General features: G+C 37.6%; 1 protein-coding gene across 9 annotated transcripts in view, besides 2 other annotated features; it reads right to left on the bottom strand.

Moving 5' to 3' along the window:
• ROBO2 (roundabout guidance receptor 2) overlaps positions 1–25,129 on the bottom strand; it is a 1,743,290-nt gene that overhangs the window by 1,430,175 nt on the left and 287,986 nt on the right. The gene's annotated exons all lie outside the window — the stretch shown is intronic.
• Positions 15,889–17,088: an enhancer, noted in NCBI's record as "CDK7 strongly-dependent group 2 enhancer chr3:76251853-76253052 (GRCh37/hg19 assembly coordinates)". NCBI's record gives its function as "activates an origin of replication core promoter dependent on BRD2, BRD4, P300/CBP, MED14 and CDK7 cofactors, with strong dependence on CDK7, by STARR-seq in HCT116 cells {active_cell/tissue: HCT116}" and the evidence as "EXISTENCE:reporter gene assay evidence [ECO:0000049][PMID:35650434]".
• Positions 21,131–21,747: an enhancer, noted in NCBI's record as "OCT4-NANOG hESC enhancer chr3:76247194-76247810 (GRCh37/hg19 assembly coordinates)". NCBI's record gives its function as "activates a minimal SCP1, AML or CMV promoter by ChIP-STARR-seq in primed H9 embryonic stem cells {active_cell/tissue: H9 hESC(primed)}" and the evidence as "EXISTENCE:reporter gene assay evidence [ECO:0000049][PMID:30033119]".

The following is a 25,129-nucleotide window of genomic DNA, read 5'->3' as shown; positions in this document are numbered from 1 at the left end:
TTCTAGATCCCTGAGGAATTGCCACACTGACTTCCACAATGGTTGAACTAGTTTACAGTCCCACGAACAGTGTAAAAGTGTTCCTATTTCTCCACATCCTCTCCATCACCTGTTGTTTCCTGACTTTTTAATGATTGCCATTCTAACTGGTGTGAGATGGTATCTCACTGTGGTTTTGATTTGCATGTCTCTGATGGCCAGTGAAGATGAGCATTTTTTTCATGTGTCTGTTGGCTGCATAAATGTCTTCTTTTGAGAAGTGTCTGTTCATGTCCTTCGCCCACTTTTTGATGGGGTTGTTTGTTTTCTTCTTGTAAATTTGTTTGAGTTCATTGTAGATTCTGGATATTAGCCTTTTGTCAGGTAAGTAGTTTGCAAAAATTTTCTCCCATGCTGTAGGTTGCCTGTTCACTCTGATGGTGGTTTCTTTTGCTGTGCACAAGCTCTTTAGTTTAATTAGATCCCATTTGTCAATTTTGGCTTCTGTTGCCATTGCTTTTGGTGTTTTAGACATGAAGTCCTTGCCCATGCCTATGTCCTGAATGGTATTGCCTAGTTTTTCTTCTAGGGTTTTTATGGTTTTACATGGTTTTTAAGGTCTAACATGTAAGTCTTTAATCCATCTTGAATTAATTTTTGTATAAGGTGTAAGGAAGGGATCCAGTTTCAACTTTCTACATATGGCTAGCCAGTTTTCCCAGCACCATTTATTAAATAGGGAATCCTTTCCCCATTGCTTGTTTTTCTCAAGTTTGTCAAAGACCAGATAGTTGTAGATATGCGGCATTACTTCTGAGGGCTCTGTTCTGTTCCATTGATCTATATCTCTGTTTTGGTACCAGTATCATGCTGCTTTGGTTACTGTAGCCTTGTAGTATAGTTTGAAGTCAGGTAGTGTGATGCCTCCAGCTTTGTTCTTTTGGCTTAGGATTGACTTGGCGATGTGGGCTCTTTTTGGTTCCATATGAACTTTCAAGTAGTTTTTTCCAATTCTGTGAAGAAAGTCATTGGTAGCTTGATGGGGATGGCATTGAATCTATAAATTACCTTGGGCAGTATGGCCATTTTCACGATATTGAGTCTTCCTACCCATGAGCATGGAATGTTCTTCCATTTGTTTGTATCGTCTTTTATTTCCTTGAGCAGTGGTTTGTAGTTCTCCTTGAAGAGGTCCCTCACATCCCTTGTAAGTTGGATTCCTAGGTATTTTATTCTCTTTGAAGCAATTATGAATGGGAATTCACTCAGGATTTGGCTCTCTGTTTGTCTGTTATTGGTGTATAAGAATGCTTGTGATTTTTGCACACTGATTTTGTATCCTGAGACTTTGCTGAAGTTGCTTATCAGCTTAAGGAGATTTTGGGCTGAGACAATGGGGTTTTCTAGATATACAATCACTTCATCTGCAAACAGGGACAATTTGACTTCCTCTTTTCCTAATTGAATGCCCTTTATTTCCTTCTCCTGCCTGACTGACCTGGCCAGAACTTTCAACACTAGGTGGAATAGGAGTGGTGAGAGAGGGCATCCCTGTCTTGTGCCAGTTTTTAAAGGGAATGCTTCCAGTTTTTGTCCATTCAGTATGATATTGGCTGTGTGTTTGCAATAGATAGCTCTTGTTATTTTGAGATATGTCCCATCAGTACCTAATTTATTGAGAGTTTTTAGCATGAAGGGCTGTTGAATTTCGTCAAAGGTCTTTTTTGCATCTATTGAGATAATCATCTGGTTTTTGTCTTTGGTTCTGTTTATATGCTGGATTACATTTATTGATTTGCGTATGTTGAACCAGCCTTGCATCCCAAGGATGAAGCCCACTTGATCATGGTGGATAAGCTTTTTGATGTGTTGCTGGATTCGGTTTGCCAGAATTTTATTGAGGATTTTTGCATCAATGTTCATCAAGGATATTGGTTTAAAATTCTCTTTTTTTGTTGTGTCTCTGTCAGGCTTTGGCATCAGGATGATGCTGGCCTCATAAAATGAGGTAGGGAGGATTCCCTCTTTTTCTATTGATTGGAATAGTTTCAGAAGGAATGGTACCAGTTCCTCCTTGTACCTCTGGTAGAATTCCGCTGTATATCCATCTGGTCCTGGATTTTTTTGGTTGGTAAGCTATTAATTATTGCCTCAATTTCAGAGCCTGTTATTGTTCTATTCAGAGATTCAACTTCTTCCTGGTTTAGTCTTGGGAGAGTGTATGTTTCGAGGAATTTATCCATTTCTTCTAGATTTTCTAGTTTATTTGCGTAGAGGTTTTTATAGTATTCTCTGACGGTAGTTTGTATTTCTGTGGGATCGGTGGTGATATCACCTTTGTCATTTTTTATTGCGTCTATTTGATTCTTCTCTCTTTTCTTCTTTATTAGTCTTCTAGAGGTTTATCAATTTTGTTGAGCTTTTCAAAACGCCAGCTCCTGGATTCATTGATTTTTTGAAAGGTTTTTTGTGTCTCTATTTCCTTCAGTTCTGCTCTGATTTTAGTTATTTCTTGCCTTCTGCTAGCTTTTGAATATGTTTGCTCTTGCTTTTCTAGTTCTTTTCATTGTGATGTTAGGGTGTCAATTTTAGATCTTTCCTGCTTTCTCTTGTGGACATTTAGTGCTACAAATTTCCATCTACACACTGCTTTGAATGTGTCCCAGAGATTCTGGTATGTTGTGTCTTCTTTGTTCTCGTTGGTTTCAAAGAACACCTTTATTTCTGCCTTCATTTCGTTATGTACCCAGCAGTCATTCAGGAGCAGGTTGTTCAGTTTCCATGTAGTTGAGCGGTTTTGAGTGAGTTTCTTAATCCTGAGTTCTAGTTTGATTGCACTGTGGTCTGAGAGATAGTTTGTTATAATTTCTGTTCTTTTACATTTGCTGAGGAGAGCTTTACTTCCAACTATGTGGTCAGTTTTGGAGTAGGTGTGGTGTGGTGCTGAAAAGAATTTATATTCTGTTGATTTTGGGTGGAGAGTTCTGTAGATGTCTATTAGGTCCGCTTGGTGCAGAGCTGAGTTCAATTCCTGGATATCCTTGTTAACTTTCTGTCTCGTTGAGCTGTCTAATGTTGACAGTGGGGTGTTAAAGTCTCCCATTATTATTGTGTGGGAGTCTAAGTCTCTTTGTAGGTCTCTAAGGACTTGCTTTATGAATCTGGGTGCTCCTGTATTGGGTGCATATATATTTAGGAGAGTTAGCTCTTCTTGTTGAATTGATCCCTTTACCATTACGTAATGGCCTTCTTTGTCTCTTTTGATCTTTGTTGGTTTAAAGTCTGTTTTATCAGAGACTAGGATTGCAACCCATGTCTTTTTCTGTTTTCCATTTGCTTGGTAGATCTTCCTCCATCCCTTTATTTTGAGCCTATATGTGTCTCTGCATGTGAGATGGGTTTCCTGAATACAGCACACTGATGGGTCTTGACTCTTTATCCAATTTGCAGTCTGTGTCTTTTAATTGGAGTATTTAGTCCATTTACATTTAAGGTTAGTATTGTTATGTGTGAATTTTATCCTCTCATTATGATGTTAGCTGGTTATTTTGCTCATTAGTTGATGCAGTTTCTTCCTAGCCTCGACGATCTTTACAATTTGGCATGTTTTTGTAGTGGCTTTTACCAGTTGTTCCTTTCCATGTTTAGTGCTTCCTTCAGGAGCTCTTTTAGGGCAGGCCTGGTGGTGACACAATCTCTCAGCATTTGCTTGTCTGTAAAGTATTTTATTTCTCCTTCACTTATGAAGCTTAGTTTGGCTGGATATGAAATTCTGGGTTGAAAATTCTTTCCTTTAAGAATGTTGAATATTGACCCCCACTCTCTTCTGGCTTGTAGAGTTTCTGCTGAGAGATCAGCTGTTAGTCTGCTGGGCTTCCCTTTGTGGGTTACCTGACCTTTCTCTCTGGCTGCCCTTAACATTTTTTCCTTCATTTCAACTTTGGTGAATCTGCCAGTTATGTGTCTTGGAGCTGTTCTTCTCGAGGATTATCTTTGTGGCATTCTCTGTATTTCCTGAATTTGAATGTTGGCCTGCCTTGCTAGATTGGGGAAGTTCTCCTGGATAATAACCTGAAGAGAGTTTTCCAACTTGGTTCCATTCTCCCCATCACTTTCAGGTACACCAATTAGACATAGATTTGGTCTTTTCACATAGTCCCATATTTCTTGGAGTCTTTGTTCATTTCTTTTTAATCTTTTTTCTCTAAACTTCTCTTCACGCTTCATTTCATTCATTTCATCTTCCATTGCTGATACCCTGTCTTCCAGTTGATCACATCGACTACTGAGGCTTCTGCATTTGTCACGTAGATCCCGTGCCCTGATTTTTAGCTCCATCAGGTCCTTTAAGGACTTCTCTGCATTGGTTATTCTAGTTAGCCATTCGTCTAATTTTTTTTCAAAGTTTTTAACTTCTTTGCCATGGTTCGAACTTCCTCCTTTAGATCGGAGTAGTTTGATCTTCTGAAGCCTTCCTCTCTCAACCCATCAAAGTCATTCTCCATCCAGCTTTGTTCCATTGCTGGTGATGAGCTGCATTCCTTTGGAGGAGGAGAGGTGCTCGATTTTTAGAGTTTCCGGTTTTTCTGCTCTGTTTTTTCCCCATCTTTGTGGCTTTATCTACCTTTGGTCTTTGATGATGGTGACATACAGATGGGGTTTTGGTGTGGATGTCCTTTCTGTTTGTTAGTTTTCCTTCTAACAGTCAAGACCCTCAGCTGCAGGTCTGTTGGAGTTTGCTGGAGGTCCACTCCAGACCCTGTTTTCCTGGGTATCAGCAGCGGTGGCTGCAGAACAGCAGATATTGGTGAGCCTCAAATGCTGCTGCCTGATTGTTCCTCTGGAAGTTTTGTCTCAGAGGAGTACCCTGCCATGTGAGGTGTCAGTCCGCCCATACTGAGGGGTGCCTCCCAGTTAGGCTACTCGGGAGTCAGGGACCCACTTGAGGAGGCAGTCTGCCCGTTCTCAGATCTCCAGCTGCGTGCTGGGAGAACGACTTCTCTCTTCAAAGCTGTCAGACAGAGACATTTAAGTCTGCAGATGTTATTGCTGTCTTTTGTTTGTCTGTGCCCTGCCCCCAGAGGTGGAGCCTACAGAGGCAGGCAGGCCTCCTTGAGCTGTGGTGGGCTCGACCCAGTTCAAGCTTCCTGGCTGCTTTGTTTACCTACTCAAGCCTCAGCAATGGCGGACGCCCTTCCCCCAGCCTTGCTGCTGCCTTGCAGTTCGATCTCAGACTGCTGTGCTAGCAATGAGTGAGGCTCCATGGGCTTAGGACCCTCCAAGCCAGGTGCGGGATATAATCTCCTGGTGTGCTGTTTGTTAAGCCCATTGGAAAAGCACAGTATTAGGGTGGGAGTGACCAGATTTTCCGGGTGCCATCTGTCACCCCTTTCTTTCACTAGGAAAGGGAATTCCCTGACCCCTTGTGCTTCCTGGGTGAGGCAATGCCTCGTCCTGCTTTGGCTCATGCTCGGTGTACTGCACCCACTGAGGGACCGAGTTTTAACACAAATTTTGGAGGGGACATGAACATTGAAATCACAGCTAGGACTTTAGCTTCTTTTCTGAGGAGTGGATTAGTGTGTTTTCAGTTGTATGGACTGTTGTATCATGCTGGAGAAATTATCACATTGCTATTGTCTTTATTTGAAGAGCAAGTATAGTTTAAGGAGATGCGTATGGGTGCCAAATTGACAAGGGGTGGATTGTGATAATTAATGTTATCTGTCAACTTGACTGAGCTAAGGGATTCTCAGATAGCTGGCAAAACATTATTCCTGGGTGCATCTGTGAGGGTGCTTCTGGAAGACGTTAACATTTCGATTAGCAGACCGAGTAGAGAAGATCCATCTCCTCTTATGTATATCTATATCTATATCATCTAAATCTATCTATCTATACTGTATTTATCCTATTGGTTCTATTTTTCTAGAACACCTTGATAAATTCAGGTGGCATAGGGTCCAACATTGCTATTCTCTGTGTTTTGTATTCCTTTGCTTAATTTATTCTCAATACATGTCAAATTAATAACGATAAAATATGTCTAATAAGAACTTGACATTCAAATTCAAAGCTTAAAGTCTAAAAGTTTTTTGACTTTACACCACAAAAACCTGATTTTCTACCTTTATGTGCATTGTTTTTCCATGTGCTCCACTTTGATAAATGCAAGATATTTGCAAAATGTTCTATAAATTAAAGAAATCTCTTAGTACTTTATTTAAAAATAGATGTATAAAGGTGAATTAACACTGATTAATTTCCTTAGAAAAAAGAATACACTACCTTTTTGAATTTTATTTCATTGAATATTATCTATGGAACCATTCTCATTTTTCTTTTCACAACATAAGGATCAGAAATAAACACTAAGAGTATAGTCTAGTATTGGCGAAACAATCATATCCACTTTTTAAAAGGAATTTCCCATACTCTTCTTTTTTGTTTATCTTAACACTTCTTTAAAAGACTAGTTTAGGATTACATTAGATAACTTCTTCTAAAATATATATTTTTTCCTTTCTTCTCTGATTTTCAAGATTCTTTTTCTTGTTTACTATGATAATTTGTCTGAAAGCGAGTACCTCTGTTGAATTTTCTAGAGTTTGTTTTAAGGTTATAATGGCCAATCCAAAATCTCTCTCTCAAGATAACTTTCTGTTATGTATCATTGAAATTCTACCCATCTTTCCCTATGCCTCTGTACAGTGAATTAAAGAGAACCAAAAATTTCTTGTCTCTCCTTCTGTCAAGTAGTATATGCGTTCCTACCTTGTGACACATAATGTGGCTAAAGAGATAGTGTTTAACTTACAAAATAGGCCTTAAGATTTCTGTAGCATTCACCTTTACCCTTGAGAAATTCCCTTTGAAAGCCAAATACCAAAAGTGAAACTAAGAACACCATGATATAAGGAAGGCTTTTAAAGAAGTTAGTCAAACTGAGAGAGAGAGAGAGAGAGAGGCTCCATGGGTTAGTACCAAGGTATCTCACATGTGAACCTTAAGATGTGACATTAAGGAATGCTGGGATATTTCAGCCTAATGGGGAGAACTACAGAGAAGCAAGTACTGAATGGACAAGGGAAAACTTACGCAGCAGAAATCTGACCTTAATGATGAATCAGAATTAATTATCAAATGGATAAATCCTACCACACTTGTAATTTTAGCCCAGAGTTAGTCCTGATCTTATTGCATAATAAATGACACTATTTTTTTACACCTACTTTTTATTCTAGCATTTAGAAACAAACTAACAAATATTCCAAGATAAAAAACAAAAAATCTAATTGCTAAGAACATTAAGTTTTTAGTTTCCTCTTATAAACTGGAACTTAAGTTTAAATATATATTTTAAATTATATTTTCTGATTTCTATTTTAGCCTGTAATAATGCATATTACATTATCTCGGGCCCTGTCCCTCTTTTAATAAACAAAATAGAAATTCTAATATCAAAAATAAATTGTTTTCAATTATATTTGCATCTGTCTTCTAATCTGTCTTCTCCATACGATTGCAAGCTCTTCAGGAAGGACCATGTTCCGTTATTTACACGTCCCCATTAGGTAGTAAAATACTAAACACAGAATTATGTCTGATTGATTATGGTTAAATGAAAGAATTAAAGAATGTTATAAAATTTGTATATTATATATTATTAGAGAGGTTAGCTGGTTCACCTACTTAAAGAACATACATAATTGAATAATTCCTTTTTTTCAAAAATATACTTATTATGGTTATTCTAGTTAATTTGTATAAACATGAAATGCATAAATGTATTTCTAGAAATCTACTTCAAAATTCATCATAAATCTATCAGGTATGAAATTTCTTATTAATTAACCTCAATTGTAGTCACTTGTTTCATATTAAAAGAAACATGTTTAAAGCAATTTATTATCTTTTATTAACCAGACAAAATCCTAAATCCAGCTAATTTGCAACTACTCTGATATACTTTAGGTATATCAAGTAAAAGGTAAAAGTAATTTTGAATTTATATCAACAGCTGACTAATTCATCTTTTATCCATCATTGAAAGACAGAATCTTTAAATTATGAAATAAAACAGTGTACAAAAAATGTATACACTTCAGGAAATACATTTTTAAAATACCTCTAAAAGTCTGTATGGCATCTGAACTTGGACACACAGCTTCTGTAGATAAGCATTTAATTATTCTCCATAATTATGATTTGTCTTCTATGATGCTAAAAAGCATTGCTTGTAAGGAATTTCTAAAATGAACATGTTTCTCCCAATCATGTGTTAACTCAATCATTTTTCATTCTGACATGTCAGTTTCCTATATATAATCTCTAAAAGTTAAGTTTTTAATCCTAAAATAGTAGGTCACATCACTAAAAGAAAAGGATGTCATAAAATACTATCATCTATTATCTGACATTCTTTTTTCTAAAATTCCAGGCTGACTTTAGCTGAACAAGTTCTTAAATTTCAAATCAAACATCCTCTAAAGAATAAAATGACTATGAGCTCTTCACTCTATATGTTTAATTATGAGTAAAATTTTCTAAGTTAGCAAACTATGAACTCAAGTCATCTTTGCTAAAGAAATGGAAAATTGTACAGAAAGGGAGAAGTTGCAAGGGTAAGTATGGCTCCTGAAGCGCTTTATAGAAGGGCAAACATTGTCAGTGTCCTAGGCTGGTGTTGAGGTTTGGCAAGAGTGAGTAAATAACTGTGGATGGAAAATTAGAAGAGGTAGTTAAGTTGATATCAGGTGACAAATGAATTTTTTTCTACGTCACTCATTACAAAAGATTGGTTAAAACACTTTAACCTCTCCAAGTTAATTTCCTCATGAGTAAATGCTGAGCATATTAACTCAGAGTGCTGAGCAGATAATTACTTTAGAAGGTGCAAGCAAAAGTATTATAAAACTTTAAATTATACACAAATGATAGATTTAATAATTGTAGTAAGTCATCTAGGGCTAACCCTGAATGTCGATAAATAAGAATCCTGCATCTTACCTAGAGGGGAAAGAACAGGTTTACAAAGTTCTTTGTGCAACTTGCATGATTAGATACTTTATAAACACTTGATTATAACATTAATCACACAGCCTACTGAAAATAAAGCACATTTTTCTATTTGCCCCTTTTTTGGAGATGAAAAATGTAATATTAAAAGCTAGATAGAATTTTTCAATCAAAACAGCATTTATATTTATTAACTCTGTTTAAATATAGCACATAGAAAGAAGCTCTTAATCAGGCTAAAAATAAATTTGGTATTGATTGAGAACAAATTTTTTTACACTTAATAATCAAAGGCACAATATAACCTACTGTTTGGGTTCTTTAAGCCATTATATCCTAAAGTTTCTTAAAATTGATTTGTGCCTAGTAGACAAAAATATCAATTATGGCTCAATAATTTTAAAATGCTGTGTGTATAATATTCTTTTTCAGACGGCTAGAGAGTCCACTGATTTTTTAGCTTTCCTTCATGAGTAGTTTAGAAGTTGAGATAGCTTACTAACAAAGTAGCACATTTGGAAAAGGGTCAAATACAAGATTCCTAGAAATATGTGTTTTTTTATTTTGAAATTTATTTAACAAACTTACACATTAGGTTTCTTAAAAATTGCTTATTTTGATTTTGGGAATAATTATCACACCAAACATTTACATATATTAGAAGGGAGAGTTCTTTGTCATTCCTGTAACATGCAAATATCTGCAGTTTTCATTTTAATGGTTTATGCTATTCCTCTCTGCTCTATTTCCAGTGCTACTGGACTAGACCAAAGAGTGTCCAATCAACTCAAGTGATGAAGTTCTGGGCCTGAATGTTTTTTTCTTTTACTATAATATTCCATCATTTAATCCATCCTTTGCTTGATTCATAAAAAGTCAAATTTGATCATGTCACCTCTTCAATGCCTCTGTATTCCATAGAAGATAAATTCTAAATGCTTCAATATGAATGTCTTCTGAATCTGTTTTCAAGCTACCATTTCCAGGGTCATTGTTGACCATGTTTATTCTCTATACCCCTGTGTAGTTTAATCCCCAGCTGCTATGAAATAATTCCATGAGCACGACACATCTTTTTACACTGCTATATTTATTACATCTTTGTACAAGAATTACATCCTATGCCTAGAATATTATTTGATGTCAACTCTCTTTAAAATTAACACCAATCTTACCTTCCTATGAAGTATTCCTGAGGGGCATAGAAGAGACAGTCTTGCCCCGCCTATGAAGTATTCCCACCTTCCCCAGAAAATCTAAACATTTTGTATATACCACTATGATATTGCTGTTTTTTTCCTCTTCAATTATCCTATACCATACAGATAAATTATTCGATATTTATATAATGTACTGGCTGCATCTATTGGGACTAAAGAGAATCTTATATTTTCAAAAATAGTTAAAATAAAAACTTTCATACCAATATAAAATGAACACATATCAAAGAGTTTGTTCAATTCCTTAGTTAATAAGAGAATGACTAAGATATTACAACTGATTCAAAGGAGAAATAAAGTGCCATATCTAGGTAGGTCTGACAGGAAAGCAAAAATGAATTTACAAATAGTTACAAAACTGGCTTTTTCCACTGGGAAAGGGACTGGGCATCAATTGCCCTTCCATCTGATTGTCTGTGGACAAGATCACATGCCTTGCCATGTAACAGTTTAGAGAAATAAAAATAGTTCTGACAAAGTTGGGGATAATCTGGAAGAGTGCATAGACATCTGGTAATATACAATTTTTTTGCCCATTTTCAACTATTTCACATGTTTTTTCCTGGGAGTAGTAATAAAAAGTCTTTGAACAAAATTCACATTTGTTTCATGAAAGCAGGTACATGCAAAACGACCTCCAAATGCAGAAGGAGCCAAGAAACCAAAGGAGCCAGACACGTTCAGCTTGTCATTATAGGGGGATTTTATTGGGTAATTTACTGACAAAAGTGTCGTTTTGGAAGCCAGAAGCTAGGTAGATGTCCGTGCCATTATCCCCCAGACCCGGGGATTATACAACATAGGGAAAGGATACATGTGCTTCAGAGGAAATGGGTACAAATCGTATCTAAGGGCAGAATTTATGGTAAAGTGTGTGCTTTTACACAGGAAACAATAAAGGAACAGGAAATCTCAGAGAGATTTCTAGAACTGTAATCAGAAGTCAACGTGGCAGATTATTTTCTCAGATGGAGTTACTTTAGCGTTCACATTTTATACGAAAGTATGTTAAGAAAACAAAGTACAAAAGCTGGGAAATCACGTGTCTAAGATCTTTGGTGTCTAAGAGACACGGTGCTTGCTCAGTGCCTATGGGAACCTTGACATTATTAACTGGGATACATAGAATTTAGAGTACTTTTGAGAACACTAAAAGAATAAGTTACTCAAGCATATAAATATGTATTTGAAAAAGTATTATATTTCACTGAATTTATTTCAAATAAATGATGATTAATTCTGAGGTCAACATAAGGCAAACAGGGCATTTCCATTACAAGGAGAGCATTCCTCCAGGAACTTCATTCTAATCTTGATCACTCAGAACATTCTGTATTAGTCCATCCTCGCACCACTATAAGGAAATACCTGAGACTGGGTGATTTATAAAGAAAAGAGGACTAATTGGCTCATGGCTCCACAGGCTGTACAGGAAACATGATCTGGCATCTGCTCGGCTTCTGGGAAAGCCTCAGGAAACTTACAGCCACGGCAGAAGGCAAAGAGGGGAGAGCAGTTCACAGGGCTGGAACAGGAGGAAGAGTAACAGTGGGGAGGTGCTAAACACTTTTAAACAACCAGATCTCACAAGAACTCACACACTATCATAAGAACAGCACTGAAGGTGCTGGTGTTAAACCACTTATGAGAAAACACTGCCATGACTCAATCACCTCCCACACTGGGGACTATAATTTGACCTGAGATTTGGGTGGGGACACAGATCTAAACCATATCACATTCCTTTCCAAAATCTGATTTCAGCATCATCTTCTTAATAAAATCTAACCTTTTACATATAAGAGAAACATCGCTCCTTCCTCCTTTGTGATCCACATTATCCCTACGGACACTTCTGTTACAGCACAAATTCATATTTAATCCATTGATTTTTCATTTGTCAATTTCACCAAGTTCCTTGAGGGTAGGCATTGTGTCTAATCCATCTATTTTCCCAGTATCTCACATATTTGTCACACAGGTGATTTTCAGAAATGTTTAGTGAATATGTGAACAAAAAGGAATAATATTCAGAATGATAAATTCATTTTTAAATATATTAATTGAAGCTTTCTTATTTTTGAGTGTTTTAATACATCAAATTAATTTAAAGATAGCAATGATAAACATACTAGAGAAAATACTAAAATTAACATCATAAATTTATAGCCCACATGTAACTAACACTTCGTATACTTCCAAGATTGTCCAGGTCATACTATGAATAGATCTTTCAGTAAAATAACTCCAAAATTGTTTTAAGAATATATTTAACTACCACTAATTTGTAAACATATCGGTTAAACTGCAAAACAGTATTTATTTAAAATTTTAAATCCATAATAATAAAACTTACTAGAAGATAAAATATTTTCTGCATAGACTTGATATTACCTTATCGCATAGCTATAAGTAAGGCTCAGTATATAAAATAAAACTGGTTTAAAGCCTTGTCTAATATACTGTTGATTTCCTGCTTAAATGCTTCTGATAGAGTTTGTGAGCTAAAGTTAATTATGAAGGGAATTGTGACAAATTACCTTGCATATTAATGGTTCTAGTGGTTATATCTAAAATTTATATTAACCTAAACTCATGGGAATGAAAAAAATGCATAATCTTTTCTAATGGGATTGGGATTGTGTGGCTCTGAGGCTGTTAAGTCTGGACTGATGCTGGAAACTAATATCAATGTTTAACAGGGTTGACTGTCATTAATGATGTGCCTAGCTGTGGGTACAGATGCTTTGCACATTACTACCCTCTATTCTCACAATCTTCCATGGGGGATGTATTAGAATCCCCTTTTATAAAGGATAAAGGTGAGGGTCAGAGAGATGAAGCATATCTTCCAAGATGAAACAGATAGTGAATGCCCAATGAAAGTAAAGCTCAATGAAGGAAATACCCAAGACTATTCCTTGCACTCAAGCAGTGGTGAAGGGGGCTCTCGGAACTTTTCACACATGGGAGTGTCTATATGCACGTTGGACCCAGAGCACTTGATAAGGGAAATCACTCAAGCAGTGGTGAAGGAGGCACTCTGAACTTTTAACACATGTGAGTGTCTATATGCACGTTGGACCCAGAGCACTTGATAAGGGAAATTTATTGCCTTTTTGATTTTCCATATTCAAATTTGAGAAATTGCTTATGATAATTAATACATTAATTAGAGATGGAAATCTTCAAATCAGCCATATAATGTGACACAAAATGGCAAACACCAAGAAAAGCAGAAATTGATATTAATTAAGTTTAAAAATAGGCCAATGATAACTTATTAAACTATTTAGAAAATAGTAAATGAGGACAGCTCTCAGACAGTAATGTAAGGCAATGATTCAACCAGTAAAACCTGCCCCTGAGAGGCTTTGGGGCAGCCAGGTCAAGTAAGAAGTTCTAAAGGCTTTTGTGCTTTAGCGGGCTGCAGGTGATGGTCAGCTCTCTAAGAGTGGGGAATTGTACGACTTTATTTGTAGAGAGAGAGCAGAGAAGTATTTGAACAATAACTGGGCTCCAGGGGGACTAGAGGGACAGCCACCTCTCTCTCTTTGTTTTGACATTCTTTTCTTCTGCTTCCAGATTCAGCCCTGGTGAGTCAAGGGGAAGTGGACTAGTAAAAAGTTGAACAGTTCGAGTTTGAGTCCCAGCCCATGGCTAGATGGTTGTTAGCTGTGCTTGTATAGCCAGATGCTAGTGTGTCACCCCTGAAATGCTTCCTTTTCTATCAGTGACAAGTTAGAAAACAGGCAGAACCCTCAAACGGAGGTACTGGAGAAGAATTTTATGAAGGGGATACTCTTAGATCCGTGAACAGGAACCCAAAAGGGATGGCATGGCCCCCAGAGACGTGCAAGAGCAAAGCTCTTAACCCTCCAGGCCTGAAAAGCAAAGAGGAGGGAGGGGCTGTGTAAACCTGGGGAAAGCTGACTTAAGTTCAACTACGTTTCTGGTGATAAACCTGTTCAATGGGAAGATGCTAGGTAATAAAACACATGGACTCTTAGTAGATAATGAAAGACATGGACTCTTAGTAGAGTTAAACAAATCCTCTATACAGACGAGCTGTAACTCACATGGGCATGTGGTGGCAGCCTAGAGGTCTAGAAGGTTCTTCCCTTGCCTTTCACGAGCAGGAGTGTGATGCTTCTTGATCTAGTGCAGCCAGGTTGCTCCACTTGCCCACTGACTTTTCTCTTTTCCAAAAGGTACTTACCAGCCTCTCCTCACTTCCATCTTGGCCTTATTCTCTCTCACCAAAATCTACTCCTCTTATTTGAAATTAAAAAAGAAGCAGCAGCATTTCTGTTGAACTCACGGGTACAAAATAATAACAACAGCAGAGCTGGGAATTGTGCTAGGAACTTTATAAGACTTTGTCTCATTTAATCCTCAATACAGCTTTAGCGTATTTTTCTAGAGGAAAAAATACGAGGATCATCTCCATTTCATGAGTTGGTAAGTAGAGAAGACTTTTGTCTGTTTTTTAACTAATTATACTAGTTGTTCAGGCCTTTATCCAAGCCATCTAAACCTAAGGGTAACTTCGTCTCAGTGATATTTCCAAATAAAGATTTTTAAAATTTCTTTTTCATACTTTGCAAATATTCACTGACTCTATGAATTTCCAATGAAATTTATCTATAGAATGTCCATATCCCCCACATATTTTTTACAAAAAGGCCCACAGAAAACAAATCTTTAATAAAATAAGACACACTGTTCATACAGTTTTTATTTAACATCTTTCAGCATTTCTTTATATGCTCCCACCCACATGTGATTCTCTGGCACATAATGGGATATCTGCAAGATGAACTCAGATTGTGATATGTAGCCAATAGGAGACAAAATGCTCAATTTATGGGTTACATGAAGATAACACTTTACCCACTAATTCACATGAAATTCTCCTTGTAGCTCACTTACACAGAAGTGGGAGAGCAAACACATTCTCTCAAAATATCAAGGTGTTCTATTCTGAGAACAGCAGAATTCGATGCAGGTGGCTATTGAATTAGCTATTAATAGTTGATTAGAAGGATATATTTTAGAACATTCTATTTCTCTCCAGAACAAAGAAGAGTCGATTTTAAACAGAACTCTCAGCTTCTAATAGTATGTGTGATTCCATCATACTATTTTGTGAAATAGAACTATAATTCAAACCTGTAAGTTAATGGTATTTGACAGAAAGGTACACATCACATTTTGCAGAAGAGCCTTGATTACTTTCAGTGCTTCCTCGCGGTAATAAAGTCTTGACAGCTTCCATTTCTCAAAAGAAAAGCTTTATTATTTTCTCCTCAATTCTAAGTAGTTACTTAACTTTAAAATAGTTGCAAGTAAACAGGAATTTCTTTGTTGAAAAAAATAGATAAGAATTTCTTATTCAGTTCCTCCCAAACTACTATCACTTAGGAAATTTAAAGTAACAAATGGGTGCAGTTTAAAACTTCAAATACTTTAAAATGTTTTAGTTACCACTTAGAGACTGTATCAATCAGGGTCCAGGCAGGAAACAGATGATATATACTCAAATCAGGTAATCTGAGGAGAATTTATTAAAGGCATTATTTACAAAAGTGCAAGCTGTTGTGTGAGGAAAATGCAATGCCTGGTTCAGTACTGCGGGCAGGAACAGCAAGGCATCTTCTTACACCTACCACTAAACAGCAAAGAAAAGATCAGGTTACTAGAACCATGACCTGTCATCTGTTGACCGGGAAGCCGATAGCCTGAGGCAATCTGACTCAGATTACTAGAACCCTGACCTGTGATCTGTTGACCGGGAAGCCGCTAGCCTGAGAATCTCATGGTGAGAAAGGAGAAGAAATTATGGGGGAAGCCGATAGCCTGAGGCAATCTCACTCAGGTTACTAGAACCGTGACCTGTGATCTGTTGACCGGGAAGCCGATAGCCTGAGGCAATCTCACACAGGTTACTAGAACCGTGACCTGTGATCTCTTGACGGGGAAGCCGAGAGCCTGAGGCAATCTCAAGGTGAGAAAGGAGAAGAAATTATGGGGGAAGCCGATAGCCTGAGGCAATCTCACTCAGATTACTAGAACCCTGACCTGTGATCTGTTGACCAGGGAAACCGACAGCCTGAGAATCTCATGGTGAGAAAGGAGAAGAAATTATGGGGGAAGCCGAGAGCCTGAGGCAATCTCACTCAGGTTACTAGAACCCTGACCTGTGATCTGTTGACAGGGGAAGCTGATAGCCTGAGGCAATCTCACAGTGAGAAAGTAGAATAAATTAATACCTTGGCTTCGCTTTCATTCCTCCTTCTGAGTTTTTTGTGGCTTTCCATTGGCCAAACCAACTGGAAGGCCATTGATGGAGTCCGTATCAGTCAACCTTTCTGAGTACAAAGTAGGTTGGGAGAGGGTAGCAGTGTGGATCTGGGGGGGATTTGAAAGACATACACGGGTACATTGTTTTAGGCAATCAGTTAAATTTTTGCCTGCGGCTGAATTTTGCTCTTAAAAGACATACATTTGAGTCAGGAATTGTAATTTCTAAGGGTTGTTCTATAATTAAGTTATTCAATATATTTTAGGAGGGAAGAGTGTGATCCAGTTTGGACTCATGAACTACACACAGCTACTAAAGTATTTCAACAGTCCAAGACACCTGAACACAGTGTCACTCTGCCTAGAGAGCCCAAGGTATATCAGAGACAGTAGATCAACAAGTCAACTGGTAGACTTTTGGGCAGAATATGTGACCTAGGACATCAACCATCTCCAGAACAAAGAGAAACAATGGAAATGTACTGTCTTTTTCATAAGCCTCACCAGTGGTCAGTTCCATCACCATTATATACACATTACTTCTTTTCCTGCACAAACACCCACACCCATAACTACACAGGAATCGGCAGCACCCTTTAGATGACTGTATCATGGAAAAAAATTTTGGTTGTACAACTGCTTCAATAATTATTCTGCAATTTCACCAGTAATTATAAAGTGTACACATTTGGTCTCTTCCAGTCTGTCTGCACCTATGATCCATTTAATAAATTCAACAAATGTTGATCAGGTTATTTTTTCATGCCAAGCAACATCCTTTGTGGTGGGATAAAGCACTGAAATAAAGTTCTGTCTACAAGGTACATGATTTAGATAAGCAGTATTATTAAATAGTTGATTCAATAAATCTGTATCATGTTCATCAATCCGCGTTTCCTACAGTTTTATATTCATTTCATGTGTGGTAAGATATCCTCCTTGCTTTTAAACAATTTATATTTTTGCAGAAAATACCTACAAGTCTAGGCATTATATTGCTCTCTCCTCTCTTTTTCTCTTTTCTTCTCCATTTTATGAATTATGAAACAGTCGAAGGGCTTCATTCAAGTGAGACAGAACATTGCCAAGTGAAGCATAACACGATATATGTGGAAAATATTGTGAAGATGTCCAAAATGTAAATGCAGATTTGCATTTTATTTTTATTTCAGGGGAGTAGAGATGAGCTGTGCTATGCACATAAACATTGAAGCAGTCACTGATGCATGAGTGCTTCCCTATTTGTTCCATTTTCATCCACTGCAGTATCCTTGGATCATGTTCTTGTTTGGCGTTTTATTAGCAGGACAAGTGGTGGGCTGGTTTGAAGAATACAATTCAGGGTTTCTTTAAATCTCTTTTTTTTTTTTTTTTTTTTTTGACATTTCTCGTTGTATTGCACCATGTCAAGTAAGCATGAACCACTGTGCACAGTATATTGAATTTTCTTCAGGTAGTTCAAAACAAATTAATTCTCTACCCACACATCATTTAAAGCACTAATTCCCTGTGCAGCCCAGCAAACTTCAAGCTGTACCTGTTCAGCATATAAAGTTAAGGCAGTGCACCATGAACACCTGTGAAAGTTTATGGCCGTCTGCTTCCTCAAGAAATCTAAATTCCAATAATATAAAATTAACAGATGGGGAAGAGCTATAACCTCAGCTTTGAAGAGGGTAACGGCAACCTTTAATTAACATAGTGTCATTTTGCTGGCAATTGTTTACAATGGCCACAGGGACATAGTTCAACAATGATGGCACATTAGTGACATACTTTGCTTTTGTTCAGGGATAGTTTGTATGGAGAATATCTCTCGATTTCTAAAACTCTAACTTAAGGTAAGTCTTCATCCTCTTAACTAAGGAACAAGATAATTGAGATGTAATGCAATGGAGTTCAATGCATGACGGTCCTAAGAATAATGGAAAGATACCTGTGAGACTGGAAGTGGCAACGTTATGAATAAAAAATTAAAATTGGTAATAATCCACTCGCATAAGATTAAGTATAAAAATTGGATTTTCAGAGGAAACTTCTAACTCACTGCATGGATTTTTCAGAAACAATTTCTCTTAATATTCACAAATAACTGAGAAGACTGTTGTGGCATAAAGACTGATTCAGAAAAAAATTAAAACCATTTATAAACCTCAGGGTTTGTTTTGTTGTTTTGCAAAATTAGCCTGTCTTTGTGCTGTTTTCTTTTTCTGATCATAAAAGTAATGCCTGCTCAATATAAATAATTCAAACCCTACGAATGTTTAAAGTGGAAAGTGGAAGGTGACCATGATTTCATGCTCCACAAACCTGAGGAAAAAACATCAATAAATCTTTATTTTTATTTTTTCAATTAATAACTCAAGAACCCACATGCTAGTTTTGTAAGGGGTCCAAATCTAACGTGTGAGCTGGCTCCAAGCTGCCCACTGTTCACCAGCACTAAGTGGCCCCACTCATGGCTAGGCAACAATGTGAAGACAGTATCTGAATCTGAACACAGTTTGGTTCTATGATGCTTCTTGCCACCCTACTATAGGATAATCTGGTCCTCCATTACATGACCAAAAGTGCTAGTCTGTATGTGGAGATGCTTGGTGGTATGTTTCTGCATGGTCTGCTGTAGCCTTTGTTAACAGAGAAATTAATTTAATTCTGTCATTCATCCCCACATTCTTTTGCTTGCTTAAGTTGCCCCCTATACTGGACGTATTAATCTATTGCTTTTCTGACAAATTTGGTGCAAGGTACCAGAATATGTCACTCCCAAATATGCCTCTTTGACATATGAATTATTTTGAGCTAAAGGCCATTGAGAACCAGTGGATTCAGGAAAAGCTCCAAAAACAGGGCATGAGCTTTCCTTTTATAAAAAGTATTTCCATTTACAAAGTGATTTTCCATTTGTAAATGGAAATTACAAATTACAAATGCATCCCTTTCCCACACCAGAAGAAGGAGAACTCTTCACAACCCTTGTTGATGGAAAAGGCACTGACCATACTTTTTCTTGGTCACCTTGCTCCTTCCCCAGACCCAAGCCCCTTTTCCTTTGTTTAGCCTAAGATTGCATTTAAGTCCAATTCTAACTATTCAGAGTTACTCATCTCTGAATGCTCCCATGTGTATGTGTGATGCACACATTAATAAACTTCCATATGTTTTTCTGTTGTTAATCTGTCTTTTGCTAGTCTAGTTTACAGGGCCCTTGCTAGAGAACTTCAGATAAATAGAGAAAAAAGTTGTTTTTTTATCCCTCTCCTATAGTGGAAATAAAGGAAGACCATCCACATGAGAATACACAAAGGCTAAGTATTTAGAGTTTGCTATACAGAGACAGTCAGCCACTATTACTTGAATTTGGCTAAGGCTCAAAGGTGGGCCAGTGAGTAAAGAAACTTTATAGTAGAAAAAATGGAAGGTTTAACTGGAGATTATTGGCATAGAGAAGCTGTAGGCAGTCAAAGTCGAAGTGGGGCATTTTATCTGTTCGAGTTGAGACGCATATTTGGCTTTCTCTGGTTGGTCCTAAATTGGAAGTGGGAACAAAACTAGAGAAGTTGACAGTTATTGACAGAGTGTTGATCATTTTGGGCCAACTGCTGAATAGCTTGTGGTTTGGCTTCCTGGACTGGCTGTTGCAGAGTTTGTGGGTCAGGTTTCTATTTTTATTTATGGTCTGGCCATTATCCATTTGTACATTCATCCTCTCACGAAGTTACCAACAATTCAACAGCTTGAACAATACGGGGTTATTTTGTGGCAGCTCTGTAGGTCAGAGGTTCTATATGGGTCTCAAGGAATTAGGATCATCTGTTAGCAGGCTGCATTCCTTTCTGGAAGCTCTAGGGGAGAATCCATTTCCCTCCCGTTGGAGTTTTTGGAAGAGTTCAATTGCTTGAGGTTGTAGGACCAAGGTACCCATTTTTCTAGCTGGCTGTCAACTGAGAGCTATTTGCTGTTTCTAAAGGCTGTGACATTCCTGGGGTTTGACTCCTTCCTACATCTTCAAAGCCAGCCAAGGTGGCTTTCTCTCACTTACTGCTATGGTACAAATAGGAATCTCATACACATTTGAGGAATGATCTGATAATTGGGTGTATGGATGTGAATGCTTGGGTGGCAGACTGGGAGGGCTTTCAAGGTTGAGGCAACAGCCTGTTGCAAAAGAACTGAGGCCCTGTAAGTACAGGGTGATGTTGATGAAAAAAGCCAAACATTGTAAAATATTCAAAAAGATTTATTCCAAGCCAAATGTGAGAATAGGACTCATAGCCCAGCCCCATTGAGAACATGTACCCAAGGTAGTTGGGGTACAGTTCAATTTCATACATTTTAAGGGAACAGAAGTTACAGGCAGACATCAATCAATACATGCAAGGTGTACATTGGTTTGGTTTGGAAATGTGGGACACCTCAAAGTGGGAGTGGGGCTTACATGTCATAGGTGAACTAAAAGAATTTCTAATTGGCAATTGGTTGAAAGAGACCTATCTAAAGACCTAGAATCAATAGAAAGGAGTGTCTGGATTAAGATAAGGCATTGTGGAGACCAAGGTACTTACTATGTAGATGAAGTCTCATAGATGGCCACCTTCAGAGGCAATAGATGGCAAATATTTCTTATTCAGACCTTTAAAAGGTGCTAGAGTGTCAGCTAATTTATTCAGGATCAGAAAAAGACCTGGTAAGGGAAGAGGATTCGCTATATAATGTATACTTCCCCTACAAGAGACCCCTTTGCAGAGCCATTTCAAAATATGTCAAAGAAATACATTTTGGGGTAAAGTAATTTCTTTCATGCAGTAATTTCTTTTCATCACATGCAGTCTGCCATGTGATGCTATATGAAAGTCAGGTTGGAATTTGGCATCTTATTGCTGCAGAGTCTATTTTGTCAGTCTTAAGATCTCTGTTTTCATGTTAATGCTGATCAATTGTGCCTAAATTCCAAAGGGAGGAGGGTGTGATGAGGTATGTCTGATCTCCCCTTCCCACCATGTCCTGAGGGAGGAGGGTGTGATGAGGTATGTCGGATCTCCCTTTCCCACCATGTTCTGAGGGAGGAGGGTGTGATGAGGTATGTCTGATCTCCCCTTCCCACCATGTCCTGAGGGAAGAGGGTGTGATGAGGTATGTCTGATCTCCCCTTCCCACCATGTCCTGAACTAGCTTTTCTGGTTTCTTTGGAAAACTCTCGGCCTAGAGGAGGGATCCGTTTAGTCGGTTGGGGTGCTTACAGTTGTACTTTGGTTTACAGTGAGATTCAGATATTAAGAGTTGGTGGGAATTTCTAGAACTTAAAGTACAAAAAGGAGTGGCAGAAGTCAAAACTGCAGTGGTCATCATAGGTAAAACCAGGATACTTATATTGTTCTCAGAGGATTTAAGATATTTTCTCACCCTTTGCAAAAATAGCTGGCACATCAAGTGTCCATATGCCCAACAAGATTTCAAAACATCCTGGCTCTAGAATTACTTAGAGATGAATTCAAATTCTATTTCGGCCATTCACTTACTACATGACTTCGGCCAGTTAACTTCATGAATCCTCTATTTCCTCACATGTAGGACAGAGATAACTGTAACTTTCACATATGTTTGGAGCATTATGTTAAAAAAATACCTTCACTACTTAGGAAAATAAACAGGATACTGGTAATAACAATAATTTTATTTTATGTTTAAAGTATATTATATCCAGTCCCAGATCCAAATCTAAAGAGAAATTGATTAACTCGGTGGATTATCACTCCCCAAAAGGAGAAAGGTAGTCCCAGATCCAAATCTATAGAGAGATTGGTTAACTCAGTGGATTATCACTCCCCAAAAGGAGAAAGGCAGGCCCAGATCCAAATCTATAGAGAGATTGATTAGCTCAGTGGATTATCACTCCCCAAAAGGAGAAAGGCAGGCCCAGATCCAAATCTATAGAGAGATTGATTAGCTCAGTGGATTATCATTCCCCAAAAGGAGAAAGGCAGGCCCAGATCCAAATCTATAGAGAGATTGATTAGCTCAGTGGATTATCACTCCCCAAAAGGAGAAAGGCAGTCCCAGATCCAAATCTATAGAGAGACCGATTAGCTCAGTGGATTATCACTCCCCAAAAGGAGAAAGGCAGTCCCAGATCCAAATCTATAGAGAGACTGATTAGCTCAGTGGATTATCACTCCCCAAAAGGAGAAAGTCCTTGTTGTCACTCAGCTGGGTACAACAGTATAACCAGCGACTTAACTGAGGCTGAGGTCACAATTCAATTTGCACTAGAAGCATCAACATGTGTAAAGTATGTAATCATTAAACGGAAAGCCATCACTTAAGCATACTAAATTTAGATGCATATCATGGGGTCTATTTTAAATCACAATATGTTATCCATTTACTTAATACCTAGTGAGCATTTATAGTGAGGTAAATTGTTTCCTCCAATTTACTATTAATGTCACATATCAATTTATTCAGAATGGTGATTTATGGCTTTATGAGCCTTGGGAAAAGAGCAGAATAAAAAGACATGACAATAACATCCTTACATCTCAGATGTAATTATATAATATAATCTCCAATTTTCAAAACCTGCTTGAACTTTGCCAGTTTTTCCTTACAGAATTTACTTTTTTTCATGCAAAAAGACAGGAATAAGACATTAAGCGAATTATAGTTTACCTCTGAGAAATCTCACAGCAGAAACATGAATTTTAGGATAAAATTATTATTTAGAGTATTTTCTCTCATTTTTCATTTCTTAGACTAACCCTTTGAGATGTGGATGTTCAGTCACTTAGGATCAATAATAACTAAAAGCAATCCAAACAGAAATGTTCCTGTAGGAATTCTTGAGAAATATATATGTGTTTCTCTCTCCCCCAGTAAACACTCATCCAAGGTACAGCTGACTATACATCGGGGAAAATAGGAATACTTATTCTTTTATTGTCATGGATATTATATAAGGCAATGATTATATGATTCTTAGGATAGTGCCAGGTAAATACCAAGAATTCAATTGCTGTTAGACTTTAAGTCAGTATCATCAGCCTTACTGCAGCTTGCACCATTGATAACCATTTCTTCTGTATGAAACATTTTAGCTTCTTGGCTAAAATGGGAAATAAGAATCAGGTCCTTCATAGTAGGAAGAAAGGGAAGTAACCTGTGGGGACTCCCAGAGTGAGAACAGGAAAAGGCACTGATGTACCCAGGCTCCTTGTCTGTGACAAAGAGTGTGTGCACATTGCAATCCTATGAGAGGGTATTACACTCTTTGCTGGGGTGGGTTTATGCGAGAAGGGAAACTTCTTGAGGGTTCTAGGTCCCCATCATGAAGTCCAGAGTCTCTGACCCTACCTTATAAAACTAAGGATGTGGCTAAGACGTAAGTGGCACTTCCTTAAACCTCACACCCCTTTGCAATGCACAACTTGAATTGCTGCATCCATTTGCAGCTGTCCTTTGCCTTTGCCTAAGAATAATTATCTTAGGAAATGCTGCTGAACAGCAGAATAATAATAGGCATTATAGGCAGAGAGATCTGAGTTCAAATCCTTATTCTTCTCCTTATTGGCTTTGACAACTTGAACTGTTTAACTTGATGTCTCCACATTTCATGTGTGTATCTACTAAGCATCCCCTTCATCCTTTATGTGCCTATTAAACTCTCTAAGAACTCCTTTCAACACACAATTATGTATCTTCTCTTCTCTGAAGGCTTTACTGGTTTAACTGGGCACAAATAATCACATTCTTCTATAACCACCACTAAATAGTCTGCATACATTTTAAATTCATTCCTATGAAATTGACAATATCCCACCTCTTTTTGCCTAAAGGATTGGCAATCCTTTATATTTGATCCTAATGTAATTCCATAAATAACACTGGTTTTGCAAAGATTTGTTAAAATGTCAGGTGATCTGTGAGTTCCTCATGGACAGGGACCATGTCTTATTTAAAATATAAACCAGAATTTTATAATGGCTTAACTACATGTTTATATTCACCTTCAATAATCTTTAGCTGTAATCTAATTTTTCTGTCTCAATTTCCTTATCTGAAAAGCGAATCCAATATCCCCAATACTCAAGGTGTTTGCAAGGATTCAATGAGATAGCATGTGAAATTTTGTTTTCAAGGAAACATCATTATATCTTTTTAATTAATCCTACTATTGTTCTTCAATGAGATTAAGACAAGTTGCCTGACTATTCACAAATGTAAACATGGTGCCCTTTTTGGGAGGAAAAAAAACTGACAAACTGATAATAGATTGAACTCAAATATTAATGAACTACTCCTTTTTATGTCAGCTAGCATGTTGACAAAAGTCAACCTTTAAAAAATCATACTATAGGCCTGGCGCAATGGCTCACACCTGGAATCCCAGAACTTTGAGAGACCAACGCGGGCGGATCACGAGGTCAGGAAATCAAGGCCATCCTGGCCAACATGGTGAAACCCCGTCTCTACTAAAAATACAAAAGTTAGCTGGGCGTGGTGGCGGGCGCCTGTAGTCCCAGCTACTCAGGAGGCTGAGGCAGGAGAATCACTTGAACCAGGGAGTCGGAGGTTGCAGTGAGTCGAGATTGTGCCACTGCACTCCAGCCTGG

The sequence above is a fragment of the Homo sapiens genome, chromosome 3 (genome assembly GCF_000001405.40).
Source record: "Homo sapiens chromosome 3, GRCh38.p14 Primary Assembly".
Lineage (NCBI taxonomy): Eukaryota > Metazoa > Chordata > Mammalia > Primates > Hominidae > Homo > Homo sapiens.
The sequence above is the reverse complement of the archived record's forward strand: the minus strand, read 5'-3'. Positions and strand labels throughout refer to the sequence as shown.